This window comes from Homo sapiens, chromosome 15, assembly GCF_000001405.40.
Source record: "Homo sapiens chromosome 15, GRCh38.p14 Primary Assembly".
Taxonomy (NCBI): Eukaryota; Metazoa; Chordata; class Mammalia; order Primates; family Hominidae; genus Homo; species Homo sapiens.
This window is the reverse complement of record NC_000015.10, coordinates 74,804,015-74,832,003: the sequence shown is the minus strand read 5'-3', so window position 1 is coordinate 74,832,003 and position 27,989 is coordinate 74,804,015. Positions and strand designations below refer to the sequence as shown.

Genomic DNA, 27,989 nt, shown 5'->3' with positions numbered 1-27,989 from the left:
TGAACCTTGGCTGGCTTCCCTACAGGCCGGGCCCTGGACCTCGGGGTGGGGCACCTAGGGTTGGCCCCATAGCACCTTCCTCCTGCCCAGGCCCCTGGGGCGACCTGCTTGGGGAGCTTCCTGGCTGGTTTCTTAAACCTCCCCTGACCCCTGCCCCTCAGCCCCTGCCACAGGTGAGCGGGATGAGATCTGGGCTCTTCATTTTTTTAAAAGAATGAGTTACATTTATTGATATGGTTTGTCATATGCTTTATAAATGGTCACCCTTTGAAACATGTATTATTACTATTTGGGGGAGAGGGGGACTGTTCATTTTACAGGGGACAAGCAAGACAGGCTCAAGGAGGGAAAGGACAGGCTCAAAGTCATCACAGTGTGGGGCTGGAATGCAGTTGCCCTTCCTTCTTTCTTTTTGCACATCTTCCGTCTCTAGGGTGAGGAGGGGTGTAGGCACAGGCACCCAAGACAGCTGCGGTCCAGCCCCGGCCCCACCTGTGGTCTCAGTGACGCCCCAGAGGCCCCATCTTCCCCACATAATGAGGCTGCTCCATCCTCCTCAAAGCCCAGACCTATTTCATAAGCCCCAGACCCCACCTTCACCCAGGGCCCCAAGAGAACAGAGCTGGAGACACTTCTACTCCTAGCACTGGATGCCTTCTCCCCTCCTGTGAAGCTGTAGGTGGGGGGTGGAGGACACCCCTTTAAGGCAGGCTCGGGGGGCTATGAACTCCAAGACTCCTGGAAGCCAGTAAGAAGTGGGAAGGTAGGCACACCATTTGGGATTTTTATTTTTCACTGAGCTAAGAGAGGAGATTCCAGCTATGGAATCCAGAGAGCGTTCTACAGGAACAGAACAGAAATTGGCTGGGCCCTGGGCCCAGAGGAGGCCTGGAGCCGCTTACTGTTCAGTGCCAGCTTCATCCTTGGCACTCTGCCTCTCACACAGCATCGCTCCGGCTCCCAGAGCCCACAGTGGCAGCCGCTGGAGGCTGTGGCAGCAGCTGCTGCCCTGCCCAAGGAGGGATGTGGGCTTGGCTCTGACAGTTCAAGCCAGAAAGAGCCTTAGAAGTCATTCAGGACATTCCCATTTTACAGATGATGAAATAAGGCTCAGAGAGAGCAGGGGCTTTCAAGAACAATAAAGGTGGAGACTGGAACTCAGGCCTCCTGTCTGCTGAGGGTGTCTGCCCATGCTCTCTCTCAGAGTTTCTGAGTGGTGGTGTCTGGAGGGGCTGGACACGCAAGGGAGCTGGCCTCGTGTGTGTCTGTCTGTGCCGGGATGTATCTGTGGCTTCTGTCTCTGAACGTGCCAGGGGTTTTGTGTCCTGTGTGTGTCTCTCTGTGGGTGCTCCTGTGTGCAGGAACTTGGGGCCATGGCCAGAGAGGGATGGGCCTATTCCTACAATCTTGGGAGGCCTCCACAGGCTGAGCTGGTGGGGAGGGTCCTGAAGGGTAGAGTGAAGATGGGGACTTTACTCCCAGCGGAGAGGAAGAAACCAGAAGATAGGCTTGGGGCATGGATGGGAAAGGTCTTGGAACTAGGATGGGGCAAGGGAAACAAAGCCCCAAATGGAGTATGGGTCCCTGGAAGTTGACACACTCTTAGCCCTCATGGGGGCCCAGCCCAGTGGGTAACCCCGGGGAAGTGGTCACATGACGTGACACTTCTCAGCTGATTGCTTGAGATCCCCCAGTGTGGCCTGGGCCTTGTCCTTGAGTGAGCCCAGGTTCAAGCCAGGAAGGCTGGCCAGCTGCCCAAGGACTGAGGCCTTCTCCTCCTCCTCCTCTGTGTCCTCCTCGATCATCTTGGCCAGCTCCCGGGGCAGCTCCACGTCTCCACCTGCCATCTGGATCTGGCTCTCATCTGTCTCGTTCTGAAGGGAAGAGGGGAAGAGGGGGTGGGGTGGAGTGGAAGTCTGTGAGGACCCAGAGTTGAGAGGACAGGGAGGAGGCTTGGACTGGGTTCCAGGCCCCTAGATTCTATTTTTTCTTTTTTTTTTTTTTTGTAGAGACGAGGTCTCCCTATGTTGCCCACGCTGGTCTCAAACTCCTGGGCTCAAGTGATATGCCCACCTTGGCCTCCCAAAGTGCCGGGGGAATACAGGAATGAGCCACTGTGCCCGGCCCCTTAGATTCTTGAGCCCCATGTTCCAGTGAGCTCAGCTCCCACCCCCACATCCCAGGATCAAGCGTTTGATGCCTGGACATGGAGACCTTTTTATATTACCTTATTTCACTCTGAGATGCTGAAGGACCAGCACAGTGAGTAAAGACAAAATGAAAATACCTATGAGTCACACTGTTACAGTCAGCTAAGTCATGTTTTGACTCTTGTTATGCTTAAGGGTGTAACCAAAAATAGTGATGGGTACCATTTATCAAACATCTATTATATCTATTACATGGCAGACGTTGAGCTGGGTGCTTTTAATTCTCACAATAACCCTGTGAGGTAGGTAGGTATTGTTATTTCCACTTCACAAATAAGGAAATTGAGGCTTACAGGATTTAAGTAACTTACTTTAAATTTAAGTTACTTAACTAACTTAAGTAACTTAAGTAACTTAAATTATCCAAGATCACACAGGCAGGATGTTGGGGAGCTAGATTCAAACCTATGTCACTGATTCCAACATCTGTGTTTTTTTGCATGGCACCTACGATGACCATTGCCCTTCACTATTCTTCTGGGGGGCGCCTTATGTCCTACTCAGTTGCATCCAAGTCTTGGCTCTTCTGCTCAACTCTGACTTTGCTGATGGCAGGTGTCTCTTATATGCCTAGCGCAAGCATCTGAGGAATGATTTTATTCCTAGAAGAGTTTGCAGTGAGGCAGGCTTTCTGGACCGGTTTTTCCCCGTGACAGATTTCCAAAAGATTGGTGCCCTGTGGGGAGTCAGAAGCAGCTGGGGACTCAGTAAATATTTGTTGAATGAGTGAATGTGATGTTCATATATTTGGTCATTCAATTCAAGTGGAAGATCAAAATCAGGAGCGCTATAGCCCTGTGCTGTTTTCCCCTGAGTCCAGCACAGTTCTGGATGCACTAGGGTGATATTCTGGGAGAGATTTGTGCTTCATTCCCCTCCTTAGACAACAGGAGCAGCACACTTACACGCCCATCTGGTGGTGCACTGCCCAGGGGAGCGTGGGGGCAGGGATCTCCTGAGATATACTCTCTGGCTGCTTGGCCGGCCAAGGGGGTACTTGGCTCTCTACGGGCAGACTCCATACTCTGGAAAGCAGCCTGGGGCCCTGGAGCAAAGGCAGGCTCATATTCACCGGCTTGAGGGCTGGTCCCAGCTCCATGGCTCACTGGCTGTATGATCTTAGCCAAGTCCCTCCATTTCTCTTAGCCTCAGTTTCATCTTTTGTCGCTGTGGGTGATAGCTGCCTGGCAGCATTATTGGGGGTTAGATGAGGACATGAAGGTCAAGTACTTGGCACACACAGGGCTTCTCTCCCCCACCTTAAGTAAGTTCTGCCCTTCAGTAGGTTCAGAAACCCCCAGAACACTCACCTCTGCAGTCAAATCTACTGATTTCTGCCTCCCCTGTGTCTTCCTCTGCCCAGGCCTGGCCCAGGCTTGGTGGGGATATGGGGGGTGGAGGAGAGAAGAGGCCTAGATTGGCTCCAGAAATACAGACCTGTCAGTCTCATGAGGACTGGGGTCCCCTCAGCACAAAGCCCTGGCCCTTGGTGGGCACAGATTTAACTACGAGTGAGTGAATGAATAAAAGAACAAATGAATGAGAAGGAAGGATCTAACCAAATACCCTGTGAGTCTCATAGCTGAGGGCTGTGGTGCCCAGAATGGGGCGAAGGAGTCCAGAACCCAGAGCTCAGGGTCCCAGATGTGCCTCACAGCCGGGGCCAGCTTACCTTGGGTAGCCGGTATTTGTCTCGGAAGTGGCTCCGCAGTGTGGCCCGCTCTGCCTTCCTCTGTGTGAACTGTGCATCCCGCTCCATCCTGCAGGGTCACCGGAGGCAGAGTCACCACGAGGGCTGAGAGAAGGGGGTTGAGGTCTTCGAGGGAGGGACAGAAGGGGTCTCTGAGTCCTAGCAGCTGCTGCATTGGTCCCTGTGTGTAGCAAAAGCGCTCCAACCCGGACATCCAGGTTTCTGCTGCCTCTGCCCATCACAGTGCCCTTTGTCGTCTCTGCCACTGGATGGAACTAGGGAACCAGGGTGGCAGTCTGTCTGGCTCTCTCTGCAGATCCTAATTATTTGTCCCTCATGGCCTCCAACTTGGTCTGCTGTTCCCTCACTGACAAGCTATGTCATGTGGGGAAAAGTATTCAGGCCAAACTTGGGTTCACATCCCAGCTCCACTACCATTTTAGGTATATCCTTAGGTAAGTCACTTACCTTCCTCTTCTGTAAAATGGGGATAAAATTTTGCAACTCACAAAACTGTTATCAGGATTGAGCGAAATAATAGCTATCATTTATGAGACTTTATCATGTGCCAGGTGCTGTGCTAAACAGTTTACATGCATTGGCATTTAATCTTCATAAATATACAAGGCATGTATTATGATTACCATCCCCACTTTCCAGAAAAGGAAACAGAGGCACAGAAAGGTTAAGTAACTTGCCTAAAGTTATCCAGCTAATAGGCAAAGCCAGGCTCTGAACCCAAGTAGCCTAGCAGCAGAGTCCAGCCCCAAACTCTGTCCCAGCACTGCGGGCACACAAGTGCTCAATGTTTGTGAGTGCCCCCATCTCAGGGTCTGTCTCCGCGACTCTGAGCGGCTGCACCACTTTTTTCAGAGCCTCAAGTTCAGAGGAGCCCCAGTTGGAAGACATAGGCGGCTGGGACCAGATCGGATTAAGGGATTATCGTTTCGTCAGAAACGCACGTGCACCCCCTTCCTCGTCCCAGGCTCCGGTCGGTCCCTCGTCCGGTCGCCCCTCCCCCCACTCCCCCTTGGCCGGAGCATGATGCTGGAGCGGGGTTTTGGGTGTCAGATAGGATGGGTCTGGGGGCAGTGTAGAGGACACCTCCCGGTCTCTTACCGTGTCTAGGAAAGTAGGGGAGAAGGGATTGGGACCTGAGGCTGGCCCGGGGATGGACTGAGCAGCTGTGGGGGTGGGGAGGGGAGGTCGTTGGAGCCAGGAAGGGATCCCACTCACTTCTCTTCCACGAGTTGCTTCTGATACTCCTCGTACTCCTCCCGGCTCATGCCCTGAGCTTCGGCTGCCGACTTGTCCCCATCTCCCTTATCCTCGCCGCCTCCCAGGCTCCCAGTGAGGTTCTTCAGCTGGCCGCCCACCATGGTCTTCACCATGAACGCCATGGTCTTCGCCGGCCGGGGCACCGGGCGCCTGCTACCACGCGCCAGGCACCGGGCACGTCCGCGCCTACTTCAGCACTAGGTTTCGCGGACAGCTCCCGCCGCGGGCCCGCGCCCCACGCTTGGCACCGCCCGCCGCCCGCCCCCGCCCGGGCCCGCCCCCACCTCCCCAAACCCCTCCTCACTGGGGGCGGGGGGCAGCACGGGGCTGAGAAGGCTGGACCACGTGCCCGCTCCCCACTCCCGCCTCCCCCACGTGCCTCCTTCAACGCCGAGCTCCGCTGGGCACTGCTGACAGAGGATTAGGGCCTGCGGTGGTGGGGTCGCTCTCCCGGGAGAGGGGTTGAGCTCATACACTCCCGGAACCCTGTTCCATAGCCTCTTCCAACTTTCTCCTCTCCTGGGCCACTAATAACTAGGATTTCAGCTGGGAGATCCAGGTAGCAGCAAGGGGTAAAAACCCAGCCTTGGGTGCCCCCCATTCTCCCCACCCACCCAAGTCACTGAACCCAGCAGCTGCCCAGAGAGCTTGACGCTGGAAAAGGGAGGGAGACCTGAGGGCGCGAGCGGGAATCCCAGTTATGGTTCCACGAGTTGGCCTCTCAGGGTTGCTCTGTCACGCGCCTCCCCTGCTGCCCCTGGAGCAGCTAGGAGTGGGGAGGGAGAGAGCTGCTCAGTGATGCTGGCTGAGCTGGGCCAGGAGGGACACTGGGAGACACTGCTCTCTGTTATGGGTGAGTTTGAGGACAGAATTATATACAGTCATGGCTCTCTTTCCCTCCATAGTCGAGGGTTCAAAGCCCGTGGGGTATCCGGTCTTTTGGAGGTTAAGCCAGGCCTTGGCCTCCTTGCCTGCTTGGAGCGCACTCCCAGCCAGGTACTCAGAAGGGGTGGAAGCCTTCACAGAGATTAGGGTGAGGCTGGAAAGAAGACCAGCATATCACAGCATGGGGAGAGGGAAATCACCTTTAACGAGGTGGGAGCATGCCGAAAGCTCAGGTGTGCGTGGGAGCTGGGCACCCAGACGGAGAGGATACTGACCAAGCCCCCACCCAAGACACTGCCTGCTTCCCAGTGATGCAAAGCAGGCTCTGAGGTGGGTCAGGCAGGCATGCTGGCAGGGAGAGGCTGCCTCCTCAGAATCCCCAGGGCCCTGGGGGTGTGTGGTGCAGGACCCAGAGGAAGGCTGCCTGTGGACAGACACTCCTGAAGGCTCTTGTTCAGCTCCTGCCTGCTGCCAGAGAGAAGGTTACAGGTTACTTGCGTCTCTCCTTTATGGGCTTTTGAAAAACCAGGACTCTCATGCTTGCCTTGCTACACTCACTGCACCACAACCTCCGCTGTTCTTGGACTTTCTGTGGCTCCTTTGGCCCGCTGCATATGGTCCACGCTTTCCCCCTGGGCATGTAAGGTCTGTCCTAGTGGCTCCAGGCTGATTGCCACCACTGCACTCCTGTGCATGTGCTGAAGCCTGTGAGCATTTCTACCTTGTGCTTTTTAAAGCTTAGCTCATTTTACTCCTCCTCCAGGACCATCCCAGCCCACACGGACTCTTCTTGTCTTGAAATTCCACCAACAAAGATTGTCAGTCTCATTGCTGAGGCCTTTAGCACACCCCACATCTCTAAACGGTGCACGTTCATTCAGCAAACACACACCAAGCAAAACTAGTGACCTCCTCTCACTTTTTCAGATCTCTTTGCCCAATTTCACAAACTCGTCCTGCCCTTTGCTCCAACATTACTGAACTTGCCACTTTTTCTCTAAAATATTATGTTTTTCTCATGCCTCCCTGCCTTTTCTCATGCTGTTCCCTCTGCCTCTATGCCTTTACCTATCTTGTCAGGGTGGAAAACTCCTAGTCACCTTAATGACCATATCAAATGTCCCTTCCAGGTTGATTCCCTAACCAAGGGGGGTCAAGTGTGTTCTCCTGCACTCTCGTAGCCCCTCAGCTTCCTGACATCATGGCATTGACGACACAGGGTCAGTTAGACCTGTGTGAGTGAGCTCCGTGAGAGCAGGACCCAGATGGGGCTGGGGGCCGAGCAGGTGGTCAGTAGTGCTTGGTGAGAGAATGGGCCCTATCCCGCACTGTGCTCTTTGTGATTTGGGGACTCGGCAGGTCCCCTCTGAGCTGAAGTGTCCCCTCTCCTAAATCCAATGGTTATAGCTGAGAACCAAGAGATGCCAGTGCTGTGGGAAATCCTGCTCACGGGGTGGCCCACCTGAAGTGCACGTAGCCGAAGAAGCCTACAGTCTGAATGAGGAGGTAGAACAGGAAGATGCCAGGCTGCAGGCACGAGGAGGCCCTTGGGGGCTGGCCAGGTGGGCGGGGGGCCTTGGCTGCTGCCTTCTGAAAGGGGAAAGTCTAAGGTCCTAGCTTAGCTTCTTACCCAGAAGGAGTGGGGGACCTGGAATCTAGGCCATGTGCATGCTCCGTTTCCTTTCCCCAGGCTTGGGGCGTCCTGGCTCTCATCCAGGGAACTTGGAGAGGGGGCAGTGTACAAAGCTGCCTCCCCCACCCCAGCTCCCATGGCTGCATCTGTGGGAACAGCTGGGAAGGCCTGGGGCCTGGGATCATCAAGGGGCCCAGGGTTCAAGAGAAGAGAAGAGAGAAGTAAAGAGCCAAAGACAGGGTGAGCAGGGTGAGGGCGAGGGAACGAGGATGGGACAGGGCATGGGGAAGCGCTGACTACCACTGGACTCAGTGATCTTGGACACAGCCCACCCTGTTTCCCCTCTGGTCATTGGATATTGGATCGAGGGGTGTCCAGGGCCCTGCTGCTGCTGAGTCTGTGGGACTCTTCAGAGAGGAGAGAGGACAGAGAAAAGATGAGATGTGTGGTGGCACGTATGCACGGACACACAGACACTGACGCAGGCACAGATGTGCTTGCCAGCAGTCCTGGGAGGGGAGGGCAAAGGCAGGAGGGCTTGGGGCTGCTGAAGTGCTGGAAGAAGGGTGGCTGAGCCCAGACGTCAAGGTTGGGGACCCCATGCTGCCCACTACTTTCCCCTCACCGCCGGGCCCCGAAGCTCCTCCTGCAGGAGGCCCAGGATGTGGTCCAGCTCTAAGAAATGATGCTCAATGCCCACAGGCAGGTAGGAGACCTGGGCTTCTGCAGCCATGCGGACAGCTGCATCCCTAACCGGGGGTGGTAACCAAGTAAGATGACTCATTACCTCTTCTGCTTCCACCCAGATGGCCTAATCATTTCCCATCTCCCCAAGGGCAGCACATGGATGGGGAACAGGTACCATCCATGGGGCCCCTTCTTGGGGGCTGGTCTTTTCACCTCCAACCTTCTTCCTAGATCCTGAGACTTTAGCTCAGATAAAGATCTCCCTAAAGCTATCTGTGTCAACCCCAGGCTCCCCGGCTCTGCCTTCCATTCCCAGCCCCTGGGGATTTAACTCCTTTCCTTCTTCTCATCTAGGTGCCTCTCCACCCCCAACCCTAGGCATCTAGCTGTGTGTGTACAGGTGGGGCTTTAGGCTTCAGCCTGGGATGCATGCCTCCTCCACAGCATCCCCAGGACTCCCCCAACCCCCAGGGCTCCAGAGGCCTGGCCTAGAGTGGGATACCGGGAAGTTAATGGGGGCACAAAACCAAGTCAGGGACTGTCTCATCCAACTGGTCTGATCTTGGCTGTGCTCCCTCTCCAAGAGCCCCCAACAAAATGCCCCTCATCCTAGGAGCTGCCATTGAAGGAATGCTCAGATTTCTTAAGCCTCCTGAGGGTGGGAGTGTCTGAGGGGGCCTTCATGATGGGCTTCTCCAGGAGAGAATTGCTTTTTAACTAGGACTTGCAAAACATTAAACTTGATTCAATTAAATTCAAGTCAACTCAACAAACCTAACTCCACCAGTAGCCCTTCCAATTGACAGGCTGTGTGCTGGGCGCTCAGGAAATGATGGAAGGAATGAAGGGCTAATGGAGGAACTTAAGGCGGAGAAACAAGGTGGTGGAGGGGTCCCCACCCAGTCCCTTACCTCATCTCTTGCAGGGCCTGGAGCAGAGTCCACTGTCCATGGAGCAGGGCACCGACCTTGGCAGAGTCCTGCAGAGGGGCAGCCTCTTGTCTAGGGCCCAGGACATAGCCCCTCTCTTCTCAGAGCCCACCTTCCCAGCGGCACTGCAGCCTCTTCCTTCCAGAGGCCTTCCCAGATTACCAGGGCCTCCTTATTTGGACACACTGTGTTTCTCTGACCTCATCCATAAGGGCATCCACATTCCCCCTCCACTCACGCCCCTCTCCCCAGGGGTGGTTGTTTCCTCCCAACAGTGGCCACTTCAGGGTTTTCTCAAAATACTTCTCCCTTCTTATTTATTTATTTGAGATGGAGTCTTGCTCTGCGGCCAGGCTGGAGTGCAGTGGCACAATCTCAGCTCACTGCTACCTCTGCCTCCTGGGTTCAAGCGATTCTTCTGCCTCAGCCTCCCAAGTAGCTGGGACTACAGATGCATGCCACCACGCCCAGCTAATTTTTGTATAATTTTTGTATTTTCAGTAGAGACAGGGTTTCACCATGTTGGCCAGGATGGTCTCGATCTTTTGACCTTGTGATCTGCCCGATGGTGTCAGTCTTTTGACCTCGTGATCTGTCCGCCTTGGCCTCCCAAAGTGCTAGGATTACACGCGTGAGCCACCATGCCAAGCCAAAATACGTCTCCCTTCTAAAAGTGGTTCTGTCCCCTGAAGGAAGCAGAGGCCCAGCCCAGTCCTCTCTGCCCTGGTTCTCCCAGAGCACCAGCCAAGCTGGGGCCAGTGCTGGTCAACACCCAGTGTTTGGGTCCCTACCTTATTGAGTGACATGGAGAGGTGGCCACCCCTCCCTGGGGTGGATGGAATCTGGCAGGAAGCATCCAGGGCCTGGGGATAGGATCAGAGAGGCTTGGCCCTGGAGTGTAAGTCCCCTCCCCTCTTCCCCACACTAGCAGCCCAGCCTAAGCTGCTCTGACACAAGATTAAAACCTCGAGCTGTCAGAGCCCAGCAAAGCCCACAAGAGCTGCTGGCCTCCTCTGCCCAGTATCTAACACCTTGGCTGAGTTTAGCTCTCAGGCCCCCAGGCTGGGCATGACCCGAGTTATGACTCCCTGGGGGAGGAGCCAGATGGCAATGGAGATGCAATGAGGCTTCTGGTGCAACTGAGCATTAAGCAAGCCCTATGCAAATCGCATGTGAAGCTACATGCAAATTAGCACCTAGTCTATTTCTGTCATTCATCTACAGAGCTGAGTCCAAATAGCTGGCATCTCCTCTCCCCAGCCCCAGCCTCAGCCCCAGCCCCGTGCGCATTTGCTTGTGCAGAGATGCCATCCTGCATGCTGCCCTGCCCCATCCTGTGACCTGCAGCATTTCATCCCTGCCTTCCTTTCCCTCCAGGCCTTAGGGGAGACTAGTTGCTGACTACAGTGCTTGCTCCTCTTTCAGGCCCGCAGGTGGAGCCTTGGATGCCTGTAGGGCTTCTCACCCAGCCTCCGTCAGGCCTGGCTTGGCCTGGGGGCCCCAGCTGCTTCTTCCATTGTCTCTCAGCCTGGGCCAGCTGCTTGGAGAGACCCCGCAGAGCCTGCAGGATCCGGCGGTGTCTGCCCAGCGTCTCCTCCAGGTCAAAGAGCCTTTCCCCTGGGGATTAGGGCAGAGCTGGGATGGGCAGCCAGCCATGGTGGGGTAACACAGCCTATCTTATCTTTGGGGTGGCTTCTTGGAGAGGGGTGCCAGAAGGTGTGGCTGCTGCCTCCAAGACCCTCTCCTGGAAGATGAGTCTGAGTGGTAAGGTGGGGATAGCACAGAACACTTGGGCCCAGGGCCTGCTTAGATGTGGCCTCCTCAGGCCTCAGTTTCCCTACTGATTAAAGGACCCCTGGTCATAAGGGTGGAGGATGCTGTGACACTCAGATGGGCGCCACCTGCCCGCTCTCTCGGTCCCTACCTTCTCCTTGAGCTTCAGAGTCTGATTTTGGAGTTACATCCTCCCTGGTGCCCAAGCCCAGCCTTGCCCACAGCCCTTCCAGCTGCCTCGCCAGGCGGAGCTGCTGCATCTCCAGGAAGGGCTGAGGGGGAACCTAGGGGAGGAAGACAGAAAGTCGGGCCCCAAACCCATGGGAGATCCAGAAGCAAGGGGAGCCTTCCCACAGGCTTCCCCACGAGCCCAGCCTTCCTCCCTGGCCAGCTGGCCCTGCAGTTTCCAGCCCTCTGAGTTCTGCCTTCACGCAGATCCCCACCATCTTCCCTCCCTGCTGTGGCCTCAAGCCTATATGTGCTGGTCCGAGGCTCCTTTAAGCTCATCTCCTCCAGGCAGCCTTCCTTGACCCCCTGGCTGGTTGGGACTCCTCCTCTGTGCTCCCACAGCCCCCTGCACCTTTTGAGACCTGGCACTGATCGCTCTGAACTGTAATGTCACAGCCTGAGCCAGCCAGCCTGCGAGACCTCACACACCGGCCCTGGCCCGCAGCACTGCCCTGCACAAGGTCTGGCCTGAGCAGAGCTCAGAGGCCAGGTGGAGGTAAGGGCTGGAATGGCAGGTCTGAGGGCACCATGACATGGGTGAGGGCAGGGTCCCTGGGCTGCCATTCCCAGGTAGGCCAGGGCTGGCATCACCTCTGGGCTGGGCTCACTCAGGCTGAAGGTCAGGAAGGACAGGACATCATGATCATCTGGAAGGGGACAGATGAAGGAGAAGTAAGACCCCTCCACCCAGCAACCCCCTCGCTCAGCCTTCACCCTAACCGCCATGATATCCCACCGAGGCAAGAGGGGTGACTTTGGGCCACCGTCTGATGCTTGTCTTGCTTACTTCCTAGGAAAGGTGTGAGGGTTGACAGGTAGACGGGTGGGTGGTGAGGGTTGAACCTCACACTCAGTCAGAGGCAGGCCCCTGTGGCAGAACTGGACGATCCCAAAACATCCTGGGCTAGAGCCATGGCAGCAGACCATCTGACACTCTTAGGCCCCCAGAGCACAGCTGCTACTGGTAGTAGCAACTGCACAGTGGCCACCTTTCCAGCATAGCTCTGACCATGTCACTCTCCTCCTCAGAAACCAGACCAAGGTCCTGGCATTCAAGGACTCCCACGCTCTGGTTGCCCTCAGCTTTCCCGCTGTGGGACCCTCCGTGGACTCTCCATGGTGTCACATTTCTTTGCTCCATTTTCCTAAATGCCCCTCTTTGCTGTCTGTCTTCCACTTGTCCCGCAACTCACAGCTAGGGGCACTTATGTGGCCAGCACTGAAATCAAAGCTTCTCTTGTTTTATCCCATTTGAGACTTGCAAGTCTCAAGGCAGACATGACTTCTCCCAAGGGTCACAGAAGCCCAGGTCATGTGGTGAAGTGGCTGACGCCACCCCAGTGCTCTTTAGAAGGTGTGCTGAGGGTGATTTATTCATCACTGCCCTTCTGCTCTTACCTGTCCAGTGGGATCCTCACCTGCCAGGGTGCCGGTGGCTGCTGAGACCCCAAAGAAACCTCCAGGGACCAAAAGCAGGGGCCCCACATCCACACAGAACTCACCTGGATCACTGGGAGTGAGGCCACTGTTCAAGGACATCTGAGGGACATGGAGAGAGTGAGCAGTGGGGGGGTGTCCCTACCTCTGACTCCCTGGCTCCCCTGGCCGTGGGATGGCAGGTGGCCCTAGGGCTTGGTATCAGAATGGCATGGAGGTGACCCGCACTCCTGGTCTCATGTGAGCCCTTACATGTATGTGCTCTGGGTGAGTGTTAGGATTCTGTGTAGGGATGGAGGATCCCCTGTGGATGTTGGCCCGTGTGTGCCAGGGACCTCACGTGGTGTCACAGGCACTGGTGTGTTGGGGCCGTGGGCACGCACACATAGCAGCTCTGTAACTCAGAGCCCTGTCAGAAGCAGGAAGGGTGACTCACGCGCAGCCTCTGCCCCCAGTAGGTGATCCGTGCTCTGAAGGGGTGTGGCCGGTTCCGGAAGTCCCAATGACAGGAGCCCAGCCCTTGGCTAGCTCCATCCCTGTGGGCAGTTTGTTCATTTGTTTGTTTTTGAGAAAGAGTCGCTGCCCAGGCTGGAGTGCAGTGGTGCAGTTGTGGCTCATTGCAACTTCTGCCTGCTGGGCTCAAGTGATCCTCCCACCTCAGCCTCCCAAGTAGCTGAGACTACAGGCATGCACCACCATGCCCGGCTAATTTTTGTATTTTTAGCAGAGATGGGGTTTCACATTGTTGGTCAGGCTGGTCTCAAACTCCTGACCTCAAGTGATCCACCTGTCTTGGCTGCCAAAGTGCTGGGATTACAGGTGTGAGCCACCATGCCTGACTCTTGTGGGCAGTTGGAATCCAGCCAGGATATACAGGACTCAAGGCCTGGACAGTGAGGGCAGTCCCAGAAGCCACTCTGCCCAGATTTGCTGTGCCACCTCCCTTTCCGCTGGGCGAGCTGGCATGGGACATGTACCTTGTCTAGCTTGAGTCTCCCTTGTTGTACCCTGCTCCCTTGGCAGAAGAGAGAGGAGCAGGGGAAGCAAGCCCTGCCTGACGGAGTGTTGGGACTTGGATTTACAGAAGGGGCCAGGGGCCTCCCTGTGGCCCTTCCTTAAGGGGACAAAGGCCTGGACCAACAATACAGTTTCTGCCCTCCATTCCCCCGACCCACCTATCACCCTCGTCCTATCACCCTTACGTCCCTCCTTCTTCTCTCTCTCTTTTTTTTTTTTTTTCTGAGACGGAGTCTTGCTCTGTTGCCCTGGCTGGAGTGCAGTGGCGCGATCTCGGCTCACTGCAACCTTTGCCTCCTGGGTTCAAGCGGTTCTCCTGCCTCAGCCTCCCGAGTAGCTGGGATTACAGGTGCTCGCCACCACACCCGGCTAATTTTTTTAATTTTTAGTAGAGACAGGGTTTCACCATGTTGGCCAGGCTGGTCTCAAACTCCTGACCTCAGGTGATTAGCCCGCCTCAGCCTCCCAAAATGCTGGGATTACAGGCGTGAGCCACTGTGCCTGGCCTCTCCCTCCTCCTTCTTTTAAACTCCAAGTCCTCTGTGCCTCTGGCTTCCTTTTCCTCTCCCAGCTGCCAGGGCTCAGAATGCAGCTGACTCAGGACGGATGACCTGGACATGTCCCGGCAGCCAAGGACAATGTGACCAGGCTGCCTCCCTGACAGGTCGGCTCGGCAGGCTCTGGGGAGTCAGGAGAAGAGTGTTAAACGCTGAGTGTCTCTGGACACCTCAGGCTACTCACAGCAGAGCGTCTGACAGTGCCGCCTTCCGCCAAGAGGGAGGCAGCACAGGGCAGGGGAGAAGCCAGCACCACAGCAGCCACCTGGGTTTGTGCCCCGAGCTATGTGACCTTGGGCAAGCCATCTCATCTCTCCAAACCCCAGTGTTCCCATCTCTAAAACGAGGATGGTAATTGGAACGACCTCATAACAATGTTATGAGGGTTAACTAAGACAGTAAATGAGAAGGGCTTGGTGCTGTGCCTGGCATACAATCAGCTCACTCCATAAATGCAGGCAATTACTCTAATTGTTATGAGCCGAGAGAAGGTTGCTGAGAGACACTGACAAACCGGCCCAGCTACTGAGGAGGCAGTAGGGCCGGGGAGGGACAGAAGCCAAATCATCAGGGGAAAGGGAAGGGACAGCTATGCAGGGAAGGGCGAGGACCCTCCAGGGGTAAGTCTGGGCTCAAAGTTCAGCACTGCGCACGGCACATCCCTTCCCCTCTCTGGGCTCAATGTCCTGACCTGTAAATGGGACGAATAACCCCCCACTTATGGAGGGTGTTGGAGATGGGATGAGATCATGGGAGCAAAGATACTCATCACAGGCCCCAGCCTGTGTCATTTCACCTGGGGCTGCTGGGTCGAAGGAATCAAGCCCCAGGGGGGCGGACGTCGGCTAAGTGAGAGAGTCCAGCAAGTATGGCGGCCCGGCAGGGTGGGCCCCCTGCTGGAGGAGGCTGGGGCAGGGGCTCGGATGGGGGGGATGGGCCCCTCCCAGTGCAAAAATGGAGGTGAGTGGTCAGTCCAGACAGGCCCTTACCCAGGCTGCTCAGAGGGGATGTGCCCGTCGCTGGCCAGCACACGGATGGCAGGACTGTCCTGCAGGGAGGTGAGAAGCAGCCTGAGCCGCGGACATGGCGGGAGGGGGAGGGTGTGAGCGGGCAGGCGGGCTGGCAGGCAGGAGACCACTACGCACCTGAGTATCCTCTGCCGGAGAGTCAAAGAAGATCCCGATGCCGTCCCACGAAGCCAGCCCCCCAAGGACAGAGCCTACATGGCCCCTGCCCCGGGTGTACCACACGGCCTGCAGGTCCCCAGCCCCTCAGCTCAGGGAACCGTGTGGGATACTGGGACCCCGGGGCTCATCACCCGCCTCCCTGACCCACCCCGCTCTGTCAGCTCTGGGAGAGGACACTCACCATGCCCTGGGCTCCCCGGCGCCCCAGTCCCGTCACCCTCATCTGCACCTCTACTTCCCAGGCAGAGAAGGGGACAGAGGCCCTGCTCCACACGGCGCCACTCCGGTTCCTCATGGATGGCGTCAGCCGCACTTCCTCCAGGCCCAGGATGGCGTCTGTGGACAAGGGCAGCTCAAGCCCCAGGCTCCACTACACCCCATCTCCCCCTTCACTCTCTCACTTGGCCCGGGCTGGGCTCCCGGAAGAGAAGGCGACAATGCCAAGGCCTACCATTAAATAAGCGGCCAGCCAGGGAAGCAGGAGTCAGAGCCCAGCACAGCTGGAGGGGCCTTTGCTGGGGAGGGCAATGAATGCCAGCACCATCCACGTCGTCAGTGAAGCCTCACCGCAGTGTGTGCTGTCTGTTTTTATAAGACCCCATCTAACAGATGAGGAAGGTGAGGCTCATAAAAGTTAAGGAACTAAGTGGATTGGATGGAATTCAGCTCCATATGACTCCAAAGCACAAGCTTTTTCCACCACGAGAGAGATTTGTGTCTAACCCTTCCCATTTCTCAGATGACGAAACTGAGGCCTTGTGACAAAAAAGGAAGTGCCTGAGACCACAGAACACAGGAGAGCACTTTAGGAGGGAGTAACTGCAAGAAGGCCCAAGACTCTAGGCTGTGGCCAAATGAGGCCAGAGCTTCCTGGTGGACAGGACCTAGGGGGCATTCCAAGGTGAGGAAAGCAGGAAAGCAAAGATGTGAAGGTGAGAACCGGCCCACAGGACTGCGATGAAAGAATGCAGGATGGAGTATGTGTGTGAGAATTGCCACTGGCGGTGGTGGGGCGGGGAGGAAGGAGCCCTGCATGGTAGGAAAAAGGAATGGGAGAGAAACTGAGGCAGTCTTGGCAGGAACTGGGGGCAGGGAACTCAGAGGCCCTACTCGAGCTCGCTCCCCACCCTCCAACCTGCCAGCCTGGAACCTGGCCCAGGGCCCAGACTCTGCCAGGACGTTCTGGAGGCAGCTAATCCAGCCTGTTTGCTCTATAAAGGCCAGGGATGGGGGTAGGGAGGCTCAGAGCTGCAAGGCCACAAGTCCCAGGGCCTCTGGAAGCTGTCACTGCCTCTGAAATCCTTGCAGAAGGCTTTCAGCCTTACAAGGCCTGTGGGTGAGACCTTGCCCCAGACCATGGGCTCCTTCAGCCTCACTCTGCCTGGTATCTCTGGGCTGGGCACAGAGGAACATCAGGGTGAACGAATGAATGAACAGACAATGCACACATCACTGGGTGATCTTGGAGAAGGTGCCTCTGCTCCCTCACATGATCTGTGACACCCAGATTTGGCAAGGCCCATAGCAGTGAGTGTTGTATAAGTTTTGCCATCCTGGTCCTGAAGCAGGGCCCAGCTTGGTGCTGTGAGAAACAGCCCACCTTTTTGTTACCTCCTGTGTCTCTATGAAGGAGGACTGGAAGAAACCCTACTGACAGGGCCTATCATCTTAAAGGAATATTTTGGGCTGGGCGCGGTGGCTCATGCCTATAATCCCAGCACTTTGGGAAGCCGAGGCAGGCGGATCATCTGAGGTCAGTAGTTCAAGACCAGCCTGGCCAACATGGTGACAACCCGTCTCTACTTAAAAAATACAAAAATTAGGCTGGGCGCGGTGGCTCGCCTGTAATCCCAGCACTTTGGGAGGCCAAGGCGGGCGGATCACGAGGTCAGGAGATCGAAACCATCCTGGCTAACAAGGTGAAACCCCATCTCTACTAAAAGTACAAAAAATTAGCTGGGGGTGGTGGCAGGCACCTGTAGTCCCAGCTACTCGGGAGACTGAGGCAGGAGAATGGCATGAACCCAGGAGGTGGAGCTTGCAGTGAGCCGAGATCACGCCACTGCACTCCAGCCTGGGCAACAGAACGAGACTCCGTCTCAAAAAAAAAAAAACAAAAACAAAAACAAAAATTAGCTGCGTGTGGTGGCACACACCTGTAATCCCAGCTACTCAGGAGGCTGAGGCAGGAGAATCACTTGAATCTGGGAGGTGAAGGTTGCAGTGAGCCAAGATCACACCACTGCACTCCAGCCTGGGCAACAAGAGTGAAACTCCATCTCACAAAAAAAAAAGGGATATTTTGTCCTGGCTTTAGTTAGGAATCGTGCCATTTCTCAGAACTCACATCTTTTTTTTTTTTTTTTTTGAGCCAGAGTCTGGCTCTGTGCCCAGGCTGAAGTGCAATGGCAGGATCTCAGCTCACTGCAACCTTGGCCTCCCAGGTTCAAGCAATTCTCCTGCCTCAGCCTCCTGAGGAGCTGGGACTACAGGCGCACGCCACCACACCCAGCTAATTTTTGTATTTTTAGTAGAGTCAGGGTTTCACCATTTTGGCCAGGATGGTTTTCAACCTCTTGACCTCGTGATTCATCCGCCTTGGCCTCCCAAAGTGCTGGGATTACAGGCGTGAGCCACTGCACCTGGCCAAGAACTCACATTTTATAGACAGAAATCCACAGCCGATCTGCTTTCTGTCTTTGCTTTGCCTGCTAAGAGGCTCAGAATTAAATCCATGGCCCAACTCTCAGGTGGACAGACCTCACAGCATATGTTTTGGAAGCCATGCTCCTAGACTATTTCACGCTCCACTCTAATCCTCATTGTTCTTGCTCACTCCCTCTATCGTGTAGTTCCATCATCACAAACCCTTTTTTGAACAAGATCTGGTAGAAGACACACTCTTTGTAGGTCTGGGTTTGGAAGTCCCTGAATACAAACCTATGGGCTAAGATGCTCTCATGCCTGCTTCCACCCACAACACACATACAGGGAAGGGCTGGTGCCCACTCACCTGGGATGAGGATGCTTCCCTCCAGGTAGCCCCCAGTTCTCATGGCCAGCCACAGGCCCGCTGGGATGGAGCCGGGAGAGTGGAGGTTTGTGCTGGTCCACATTGCCTTCTGTGTGCCTGGGACTTAGTGTGTGAGCATGTGTCTGTGTGTTCACAGGTCAGAGGTAGAGGAAGGGCAGGGGTCCAAGGAGAGGCAGAGGAGAAGAGAGAAGTCCTGGGGCAGGGAAGCAGAGAGGCAGAGGAGAAACAGCTTGGGCAGGGGTGGGGGGTGTTGAGGCGGTGGAGCAGGAGACAAGCCTGGAAGGGGTCCTGGGGTGCCTGGCACTGTCCCAGGCCTTGCCCCACCCTGGACAGAGGATGGCTGTGACAGACCCACTCCCCACCAAGTCACAGCCCCTCCAGCACTTTGAGGGACCCTGGGCATAGCTGGTCCCCACCCCTGCCCCTCACCTCCATGATGGCTCCAGAAGGGTATTCCAGCCCCAGGCAATGCCAGCCTTGGGCCTTTGAAGCTGAGCTTGTACTCAAACCTGCGTAGAGGAGGACACCCCGTCTCAGGGCTGTGGGGGTCCAGGAGCAGGAGGAGAAGGCAGAATAAGGGACCTGGACCACTGACCGCCGGCATCGTGAAGGCGCCTGAAGTCTGGGCCCCGGGGTAGATCATAGCTGGGAGGCCGGGGAGGGGATCCTGGGATAGGGCCAGGCAGGGAGGAGCTGGGGACTGGCCAGGAGCTGGGTTTTGGCACTGTCCTCTCCCTCTATCTCCAGCATAGACATCCTGTTCCTTCCAGGCCTGCTGTCAGGCCCCGCCCATCCCTCACCTCCAGTCTGACGTGGGCAGCGGGACCCCACGACAACCTGAGCTCTGCCCCTGCTCCTGACTCAGGCCATCTTTCTGTCTCCCATCACTTCCAGCAGTTGGATGCGGCAGAGGGGAAGGGGGGGTGCCCAGGGTTGGCCCCCACCCTTCAGCAGCCCTGGCCTCCCCTCCCAGTTAGGGAGACAGGCCTCCACATTCTGCCTGTGTCCCCCAGCATGGATGGCACATCTATCTGGACACCCATCCTTCTCTCCTCCCTGCCCCCTCTCTCCCTCTCCCGAATTCCCCCAGGCTCATCCTTCCAAGCAGCCTGGTTTCCTCAACAAAAGCATTACATGGAAAAAAGAAGGGAGTCTTTAGAGACAGCACAAAAACGCAACGTGCAGACCTTGTTTGGAGCCAAATTTTAACCCAACTGCAAAAAAAAAAAAAGATATTGGGGAAATTTGAACAATGGATATTTTTGAACAATGGATATTTGACTATATTGAGGAATTGTTAAAAATTTTAGGGCACTGTGGCTCATGTCTGTAATCTTAGCACTTTGGGAGCCCAAGGCAGGTGGATCACCTGAGGTCAGGAGTTCGAGACCAGCCTGGCCAACATTGTGAAACTCTGTCTCTACTAAAAAAAAATACAAAAAATTAGCCAGGCCTGGTGGTGCATGCCTGTAATCCCAGCTACTTGGGAGGCTGAGGCAGGAGAATCACTTGAACCTGGGAGGCAGAGATTGTAGTGAGCGGAGATTGCACCATTGCACTCCAGCCTGGGTGATAAGAGCAAAAATCCATTTCGAAAAAAAAAATTGAGAACTAATATGGTATTGTGGTTATGTTTTTTATTTTTTATTTTATTTTATTTATTTATTTTTTGAGACGGAGTCTCGCTCTATCGCCCGGGCTGGAGTGCAGTGGCGCGATCTTGGCTCACTGCAAGCTCTGCCTCCCGGGTTCACACCATTCTTCTGCCTCAGCCTCCCAAGTAGCTGGGACTACAGGTGCCCGCCACCATGCCTGGCTAATTTTTTGTATTTTTTAGTAGAGATGGGATTTCACCGTGTTAACCAGGGTGGTCTCGATCTTCTGACCTCGTGATCCGCCTGACTTGGCCTCCCAAAGTGTTGGGATTACAGGCGTGAGCCACTGCGCCTGGCCTTTTTTTTTTTTTTTGAGAGGTGGTGTCTTCCTATGTTACCAAGGATGGACTCAAACTTCTGGGCTCAAAGGATCCTCCTGCCTCCTGAATAGCTGGAAATAAAGGCATGAGCCACCACGCCTGGCTTGTGGTTATGTTTTTAAAGTGTCTTTTGGAGAAACATACAAAAGCTTTACAGATGAATTGCTGTAACATCGGGGATTTGCTTCAAAATATTCCAGGGCTTGTTGGTGAGCAGGTGGGGTAGAGATGAGACAGAATTGACCTTGAGTTGGTAAGTGCTGAAGCTGGATGGCGGGATGCAGGGGTTCCTTATATCTTCTACTTTTATTATTTTTTGAAACAGGGTCTCACTGTCACCCAGACTGAAGTGCAATGGCAGGATTGTAGAGGAGCTGGGACTACAGGCACACACTACCGTGCCTTGCTAGCTAATTTTTTTTTTTTTTTTTTTTTGAGACGAAGTCTCACTCTGTCACCCAGGCTGGAGTGCAGTGGCGGGATCTCGGTTGACTGCAACCTCCTCCTCTCAGGTTCAAGCGATTCTCCTGCCTCAGCCTCCTGAGTAGCTGGGATTACAGGCACCCACCAACCCACCACCATGCCCGGCTAATTTTTGTATTTTTTTTTTTTTTTTTTGAGATGGAGTCTCCCTCTGTTGCCCAGGCTGGAGTGCAGTGGCACAGTCTCCGCTCACTGCAAGCTCTGCCCCCACCGGGTTCATGCCATTCTCCTGCCTCAGCCTCCAGAGTAGCCGGGACTACTAGGCGCCTGCCACCACGCCCAGCTAATTTTTTTGTATTTTTAGTAGAGACAGCATTTCACAGTGTTTGCCAGGTTGGTCTTGATCTCCTGACCTCGTGATCCACCCGCCTCAGCCACCCAAAGTGCTGGGATTACAGGTGTGAGCCACCGCGCCTGGCCAATTTTTGTATTTTTAGTAGAGACAGGGTTTCACCATTTTGGATCAGGCTGGTCTCGAACTCCTCACCTCAGGTGATCCGTCCACCTCAGCCTCTCAAAGTGCTGGGATTACAGGCATGAGCCACAGCGCCCAGCCCCCAGCTAATTTTTTAATTTTTATTTTTGTAGAGATGGGGGTCTTGTTTTGTTGCCCAGGCTGGTCTTGAACCCCTGGCTTCAAGTGATCCTTCTGCCTTGGCTTCCCAAAGTGCTGGGATTACAGGTGTGAGCCACAACACTGGCCTATTTTTATATATTTGAAAATTTTCATTAAAAATTTTTTTTAGAAAGAAAGAAATCCTATATTTCAAATATTTTCATCCAAATAAAAGTTGGTTTTCCAGAATGACTCATTTGCCAAGAATCCTGGATAGCTGAAATTTTACTGTGCTTTGGAGGTTCCCAATAGGAGTCAGTGACTGAAGCTTTACAAATGGATTAAAATCAAAGTTGTACATGTGAAATGTTAGAACATGCTATGAGAAATCATTTCACAGGCCAGGTGCAGTGGCTTACACCTGTAATCCCAGCACTTCGGGAGGCCGAGGTAGGCGGATCACCTGAGGTTGGGAGTTCAAGACCAGCCTGACCAACATGGTGAAACCCCATCTCTACTAAAAATACAAAATTAGCCAGGCGTGTAATCTGAGCTACTCAAGAGGCTGAGGCAGGAGAATCGCTTGAACCCAGGAGGCAGAGGTTGCAGTGAGCCAAGATCGCGCCATTGCACTCCAGCCTGGGCGACAAGAGTGAATCTCTGTCTCAAAAAAAAAAAAAAAAAAGCATTTTGCAACACCAAGCCCTCACCTGCCTCCATCTGCTCCTCCTCCCTTCACAGCCACACTGGTGGACAGGTTGTCCATTCTGTCCCCGCCTCCTCACTGGATCCTCAAGCCCCTCAAGCCCACTGGATCCTCAAGCCCTTGGCTTCCCGATCCTGTCCCCACCACTCCATGGAAAACGCCCTCGCAAAGGCCTGAGCAGCTATGCCTGTTCTTTGGTCCTAGGAGACTCTTCTCAACCCAGTCTCTGCCGCTTGAAATGCTGCTGACATCCACCTGCTCTCCCCGACCCCTCCTGTACCCTGAGTCCCCCCAAGGCCCACCTGCTTCTCCCCCTGCCCCTGGCTGCTCCCTTCACTAATCCCTTGCCAGCTGCTCTCCCTCCCTACCCCCATAAGCCTCAGGGCTTGCTTCTCCTCAACCCCACACTCCCTGACCAAGCTCCTCCATGCCCATGACTTCAAGCACATCCCTGTGCACACTCTCAAATCTACTTCTAGCCAGCCTCTCCTGGAAGACTTGAATGAATGTGTCTCTCTGCAGCGGACATCTCTGCTTGGATGTCACTAAGGCCCCCAGGAATTCCAAACTGAATTCCTCTTCTCCAGCCCCTTCATCCTCCTCCAGGCCTCAGGTCTCCCAGGTGGCACCGCCCCCTTACACCAGAGAGTGGAACTGCTCCCATATCCTTCCCTCTGCCTCATCCCCACATCTAGCCATAGGCAGGTTCTTACATTTGTTCTTGCCATTCATACCGTGTTACCTGGTTCCTTAATCTTGCCAAGCCTTAGTTTTCTTATCTGTAAAATGGGAGCATTAATGGTATATGCCTCCAAGAGTTGTTTGAAAAGTTACATGGAACGTATTTAGAACAGGGCCTGGCAGACAGTGCTCAGCTCAATAGGACAGCAGCCCCTTTATCCTCCTCTTCCCCACTACCTGCTGACTGCAGCCTCCTCACCGTCTCCCAGACTGCAGTGAAAAAGGTCTTTCTAAAATGCAGATCTGGGCTGGGTGCGGTGTCTCACGTCTGTAATCCCAGCATTTAGGGAGGCCAAGGCCGGTGGATCACCTGAGGTCAGGAGTTCCAGACCAGTCTGACTAACATGATGAAACCCCGTCTCTACTAAAAATACCAAATATGCATGATGGTGCATGCCTGTAATTCTAGCTACTCGGGAGGCCGAGGTAGGAGAATCGCTTGAACCCGGGAGGCAGAGGTTGCAGTGACTCGAGATTGCATCATTGCACTCCAGCCTGGACAAGAGCGAAACTCTTTCTCAAAAAAAAAATAAATAAATACAATAAAATAAAATACAGATCTGGCCATGCCACACCTCTGTCCTAAGCCCTTCAATTGCTTCTGGCTATCTTCCCATAACATTGAGCTCCTCATTGGGCCTACAGAGGCAGGTGAGGTCCAGGCCCCTGCTTTCGCTTCAGCTTCACTGGCTTCCAAGCCACACCCCTTGGCGTCTGAGCCCCAGCAAGCTGGTCAGCTCGCTGTCGCACCTCACCACCTTTGGCTGGGCAGTGCCCTTCCTTTGCCAGGAATGCCCTTGCTGTCCCTGCCTGTTCTTTGAGTGTCTGAGGAGCCGCCCTGCACTTCCCACCGCCTCTGCCCCATTGGTGGGGTGCTGGTGGCAGGTATTCCCCCACTTTTCCGGACAGCAGACTGAGTCCTGAGAAGGTTCCCCATCAGTTCACAAGCTCCTTAAGGGCAGGATCTATGTCTTGCTCATCTGTGATGAGCCAGTTGCCAGGGCAGAGAAGGGAGAGATGAGAGAAAAGAAAGAGGAAAAAAACAAGCAGAAACAGAGAGGCTGGGTGCAGTGGCTCACACCTGTAATCCCAGTACTTTGGGAGGCTGAGGTGGGTGGATCACTTGAGGTCAGGAGTTCGAGACCAGCCTGGCCAATATGGCAAAACCCCCTCTCTACTAAAAATAAAAAAATTAGCCAGGTGTGGTGGCAGGCGCTTGTAATCCCAGCTACTGGGGAGGCTGAGACACGAGAATCGCTTGAACCCAGGAGGCAGAGGTTGTACTGAGCCAAGATCATGCCACTGCACTCCAGCCTAGGTGACAGAGCTAGACTCCCTCTCAAAAAAAAAGAAAAAGGAAAGATGAATGGGAACACCCAGCCATCTGAGCCTGCAACCCTCAGGGTCCCATTGGCTGAGCCCTGTCCCTTCTCTCCTGTTGTTTTATGCCTGGCCCATCTCTGTTGTGTTGCTTGGCTGGCCCCTGTTGTGACCCTATAGCCACGGGCTTCACTGTGGGTTTCTGAATCCTAGCTGGCTTGGACCAGCTGTGAGAGCTGATTGCTGGAATCCCCATCCAGCGCTGTATTCAGTGAAGTCAGATTGGTGCTTGAAATTGACCACAGTCAGAGTATTAACTCCGCGGATATCAGCAAATGCTATAAATCAGAGCTACCCCACCCAGCCCGTGTCCTAGATTTGGATATTAAACATTCATCAGTGCACCACTGCCTGAGTCTCCCTCCTTCTCTGCACTTGCGGAGGGACTATCCCTCTCCCATCTCAGGCCGGTTCCCCCATGTTCTGGGTTCCCACCACCCACCCCCTGCTCTAAGGAAGGCTCTACCATCTACATACCACCCCTCCTGTCTATATCTCTTGCCTCACTCTCAGTACTCAGTACAATTTAAAGGTCAATGTCCTTCCCTTTGGCAGCCAAATTTGCTCAAGACTCTGCTGTCTTAAATCTACCAGCCGGGTGCGGTGGCTCATGCCTGTAATCCCAGCACTTTGGGAGGTCAAGAGATCGAGACCAGCCTGGCCAACATGGTGAAACCCTGTCTGTACTAAAAATACAAAAATTAGCTGGGTGTGGTGGTGGGCACCTGTAGTCCCAGCTACTCAGGAGGCTGAGGCAGGAGAATCACTTGAACCCGGGAGGCTGAGGTTGCAGTGAGCTGAGATTGCGCCACTGCACTCCAGCCTAGGTGACAGATCGAGACTCCATCTCAAAAAAAAAAAAAAAAGAAAAAGAAAAAGAAAAAAACCCTAAATCCACCACATCCTCCTGTCACTCTTCCTCTCTCATCTCTCCATTACAACTTCATTTCTCAGACTGTCCACCTCTTGCGTTTCTCACACCCTTCTCTAGTCACTGTGATCTGGAATCAGCCCTTATCAACACAGACATTGTGGCTAAAACCAAGGGGCAGTTTGGCCAGGTGCAGTGGCTCATGCCTGTAATCCCAGCACTTTGGGAGGCCGAGATGGATGAATCACTGAGGTGAGGAGTTCAAGACCAGCATGGCCAACATGGCAAAACCCTGTCTCTACTAAAAATACAAAAATTAGCCAGGCGTGGTGGTGGGCACCTGTAATCCCAGCTACTTGGGAGGCTGAGGCAGGAGAATTGCTTGAATTTGGGAGGTGGAGGTTGCAGTGAGCTGAGATTGTGCCAGTGCTCTCTGGCTTTGGCGACAGAGCGAGACTCCATTTCAAAAAAAATAAATAGCCAGGCATGGTGGCTCACGCCCGTAATCCCAGCACTTTGGGAGGCCAAGGCGGGTGGATCACGAGGTCAGGAGATCAAGACCATCCTGGCTAACACAGTGAAACCCCGTCTCTACTAAAACTACAAAAAATTAGCCGAGAGTGGTGGCAGGCGCCTGTAGTCCCAGCTACTCGGGAGGCTGAGGCAGGAGAATGGTGTGAACCTGAGAGGTGGAGCTTGCAGTGAGCCGAGATCGTGCCATTGCACTCCAGCCTCGGTGACAGAGTGAGACTCTGTCTCAAAAAATAAATATAAATACATAAATAAAAACCAAGGGGCAGACTCAGCCTCCATCTCTGTGCCTTCTGGGAGGCGGGGACCCTGGTGGCTTCCTCCTCTTGAAGTTCTTTTTCCTTGGCTTTTACGACATGGCACTGGCATGGTCAACCTCCTCTTCTTGACCTTTTTTTTTTTTGAGAGATGCAGTTTTGGTCTTGTTGCCCAGGCTGGAGTGCAGTGGCATGATCCCGGCTCACTGCAACTTCTGCCTCCTGGGTTCAAGCAATTCTCCTGCCTCAGCCTCCAGAGTAGCTGGGATTACAGGTGTGCACCACTGCGCCCAGCTAATTTTATATTTTTAGTAGAGACGAGGTTTCACCATGTTGGTCAGGCTGGTCTCTAACTCCTGACCTCAAGTGATCCACTGGCCTTGGCCTCCTGAAGTGTTGGGATTACAGGCGTGAGCCGCCGCGCCCAGCTTCTTGGCAGTTTCAAAGCCTCACTTAAAACTCAATGTGTGGCTTGGTGTGGTGGCTCACGCCTGTAATCCCAACACTTTGGGAGGCCGAGGTGGGAGGACTGCTTGAGCCCAGGCGTTCAAGGCTAGCCTAGACAACATAGGGAGACCTCGTCTCTACAAAAAATTTAAAAATTAGCCAGTCATGGTGGCAGGCACTTGTAGTCCCAGCTACTTGAGAGGCTGAGGCAGGAGGACTGCTTCAGCCTGGGAGGTCAAGGCTGTAGTGAGCTGTGTTTGCACCACTGGACTCCAGCCTGGGTGTCAGAACGAGACCCTGTCTCAAAACAACAAAAACCTTAACATGTCCTTAACAGAGCTCATGATACTCCCTCCTAAGCATGAGTCTCCTGTCCTCGCTCAGCAGATGCCCCCTGCTGCCCTCCCTGCATCCGTTCTGCTCAATCAGGCCTTGCTACGGCCCTTCCCTCTCCTCCACTCTCACACTGAATCCATAGCCAAGTTCGGTCAATTTTAGCTCTGGAGCTAAATCTCTCTGGAGACCGTCTCTCATCTGGACCAGTCCTCACTGTACTCTCTGAAACTCCTCTACCAGTAGCTAGGGTGATTTCAAAAACACATATCTGGGCCGCGTGCAGTGGCTCACGCCTGTAATCCCAGCACTTTGGGAGGCCGAGGTGGTGGATCACCTGAGGTCAGGAGTTTGAGACCAGTCTGGGCAACACGGCGAAACCCCGTTTCCACTAAAAATACAAAAATTAGCCAGGCATGGTGGCGCATGCCTGTTGTAATCCCAGTTACTTGGGAGGCTGAGGCAAGACAATCGCTTGAACCCAGGAGCTGGAGGTTGCAGTGAGCTGAGATGGCACCACTGCACTCCAGCCTGGGTGACAGAGTAAGACTTCTTCTCAAAAACAAACAAACAAACAAAAATTATCTGACATCTCACCCTCCTGATCAAACTTGTCATTGGCTTCCCATTATTCTCTGTTTGATAAAAGCTAAGTCTTTGCCACAGCCACAGCCTCACCTCTCAGGCCTGGCTGTTCGTCCATCCTCACCCACTTTCTTGGAGATCTGAGACAAAGCTGCCCTCCCTCCAGTCTCAGCATCTCTTCCTGGAATGCTGCTAACTCCTGCCATACAACCTGTTCATTCTGCTTCTGATCTCAGCTTAAACGCTGCTTCTTTCCAGAAGCCCTCCCTGATCTACAAAGATTCCCATGTTTTGTGTTCCTCATGTAGCACTTAAGTTTGTCACTGTCTATATGTGACTATTTGATTGTCTTCCCAACTGTGGACTCCACAGGGTGTGTTTTGCTTATTGATGAACCTCAGTCCTAGCAAACAGCAGGTATTCAAATATTTGTTGTTGAATGAATGGTGTAGTTTTAGAAAAATTAAGTCTGGCAGTATGCAGAGAAGATGAAGTGGAGGCGGCGAGGAGGCTGTTGCACTGGTAGATGGAACTACAGTGGGGCTGAGGAACAGACACAAGGTAGACTTCGAAGTCAGA

General features: G+C 54.2%; 2 protein-coding genes and 1 long non-coding RNA gene across 3 annotated transcripts, besides 4 other annotated features; all 3 read right to left on the bottom strand.

The window, feature by feature from the left end:
• Nucleotides 1–201: 201 nt before the first annotated feature.
• CPLX3 (complexin 3) lies at nt 202–5,377 on the bottom strand. Its single transcript, NM_001030005.3, has 3 exons — nt 5,137–5,377; nt 3,883–3,970; nt 202–1,874 (listed from the first exon to the last, which is right to left on the bottom strand). Exons 1-3 carry the CDS (start codon nt 5,298–5,300, stop codon nt 1,650–1,652), a joined length of 477 nt encoding a protein of 158 aa, NP_001025176.1. The 5' UTR covers nt 5,301–5,377; the 3' UTR covers nt 202–1,649.
• LOC105370897 (uncharacterized) lies at nt 2,303–3,872 on the bottom strand. Its single transcript, XR_932478.1, has 2 exons — nt 3,116–3,872; nt 2,303–2,886 (listed from the first exon to the last, which is right to left on the bottom strand). It is a non-coding gene; the product is annotated as an uncharacterized LOC105370897 (long non-coding RNA).
• Nucleotides 5,188–5,395: a silencer, noted in NCBI's record as "fragment chr15:75118950-75119157 (GRCh37/hg19 assembly coordinates)". NCBI's record gives its function as "represses an EF-1alpha promoter that drives an FKBP-Casp9 reporter gene in an ReSE screen in phorbol 12-myristate 13-acetate-treated (for megakaryocytic differentiation) K562 erythroleukemia cells {active_cell/tissue: K562(+PMA)}" and the evidence as "EXISTENCE:reporter gene assay evidence [ECO:0000049][PMID:32094911]".
• LMAN1L (lectin, mannose binding 1 like) lies at nt 6,250–19,169 on the bottom strand. Its single transcript, NM_021819.3, has 14 exons — nt 18,975–19,169; nt 15,693–15,847; nt 15,470–15,577; nt 15,314–15,372; nt 13,187–13,286; nt 12,732–12,852; nt 11,905–11,960; nt 11,237–11,369; nt 10,778–10,929; nt 10,104–10,175; nt 9,295–9,362; nt 8,322–8,445; nt 7,526–7,653; nt 6,250–6,528 (listed from the first exon to the last, which is right to left on the bottom strand). Exons 1-14 carry the CDS (start codon nt 19,147–19,149, stop codon nt 6,399–6,401), a joined length of 1,581 nt encoding a protein of 526 aa, NP_068591.2. The 5' UTR covers nt 19,150–19,169; the 3' UTR covers nt 6,250–6,398.
• Nucleotides 8,894–9,706: an enhancer, noted in NCBI's record as "H3K4me1 hESC enhancer chr15:75114639-75115451 (GRCh37/hg19 assembly coordinates)". NCBI's record gives its function as "activates a minimal SCP1, AML or CMV promoter by ChIP-STARR-seq in naive H9 embryonic stem cells {active_cell/tissue: H9 hESC(naive)}" and the evidence as "EXISTENCE:reporter gene assay evidence [ECO:0000049][PMID:30033119]".
• Nucleotides 10,521–11,334: an enhancer, noted in NCBI's record as "H3K4me1 hESC enhancer chr15:75113011-75113824 (GRCh37/hg19 assembly coordinates)". NCBI's record gives its function as "activates a minimal SCP1, AML or CMV promoter by ChIP-STARR-seq in primed H9 embryonic stem cells {active_cell/tissue: H9 hESC(primed)}" and the evidence as "EXISTENCE:reporter gene assay evidence [ECO:0000049][PMID:30033119]".
• Nucleotides 11,335–12,148: an enhancer, noted in NCBI's record as "H3K4me1 hESC enhancer chr15:75112197-75113010 (GRCh37/hg19 assembly coordinates)". NCBI's record gives its function as "activates a minimal SCP1, AML or CMV promoter by ChIP-STARR-seq in primed H9 embryonic stem cells {active_cell/tissue: H9 hESC(primed)}" and the evidence as "EXISTENCE:reporter gene assay evidence [ECO:0000049][PMID:30033119]".

What these genes read in the sequence shown, in the direction of transcription:
- CPLX3 (NM_001030005.3), bottom strand. Translation starts at nt 5,300, where the DNA reads ATGGCGTTCATGGTGAAGACCATGGTGGGCGGCCAGCTGAAGAACCTC. An exon ending in AAGCAACTCGTGGAAGAGAA is followed by an intron (nt 3,971 to 5,136) that starts GTGAGTGGGATC and finishes GTGACCCTGCAG; the next exon opens with GATGGAGCGGGATGCACAGT. An exon ending in ACAAATACCGGCTACCCAAG is followed by an intron (nt 1,875 to 3,882) that starts GTAAGCTGGCCC and finishes TCTTCCCTTCAG; the next exon opens with AACGAGACAGATGAGAGCCA.
- LMAN1L (NM_021819.3), bottom strand. Translation starts at nt 19,149, where the DNA reads ATGCCGGCGGTCAGTGGTCCAGGTCCCTTATTCTGCCTTCTCCTCCTG. An exon ending in TGAGTGAGCCCAGCCCAGAG is followed by an intron (nt 11,370 to 11,904) that starts GTGATGCCAGCC and finishes TTCCTCCCCTAG; the next exon opens with GTTCCCCCTCAGCCCTTCCT. An exon ending in TCTCCATGTCACTCAATAAG is followed by an intron (nt 9,363 to 10,103) that starts GTAGGGACCCAA and finishes GCCCCTCTGCAG; the next exon opens with GACTCTGCCAAGGTCGGTGC.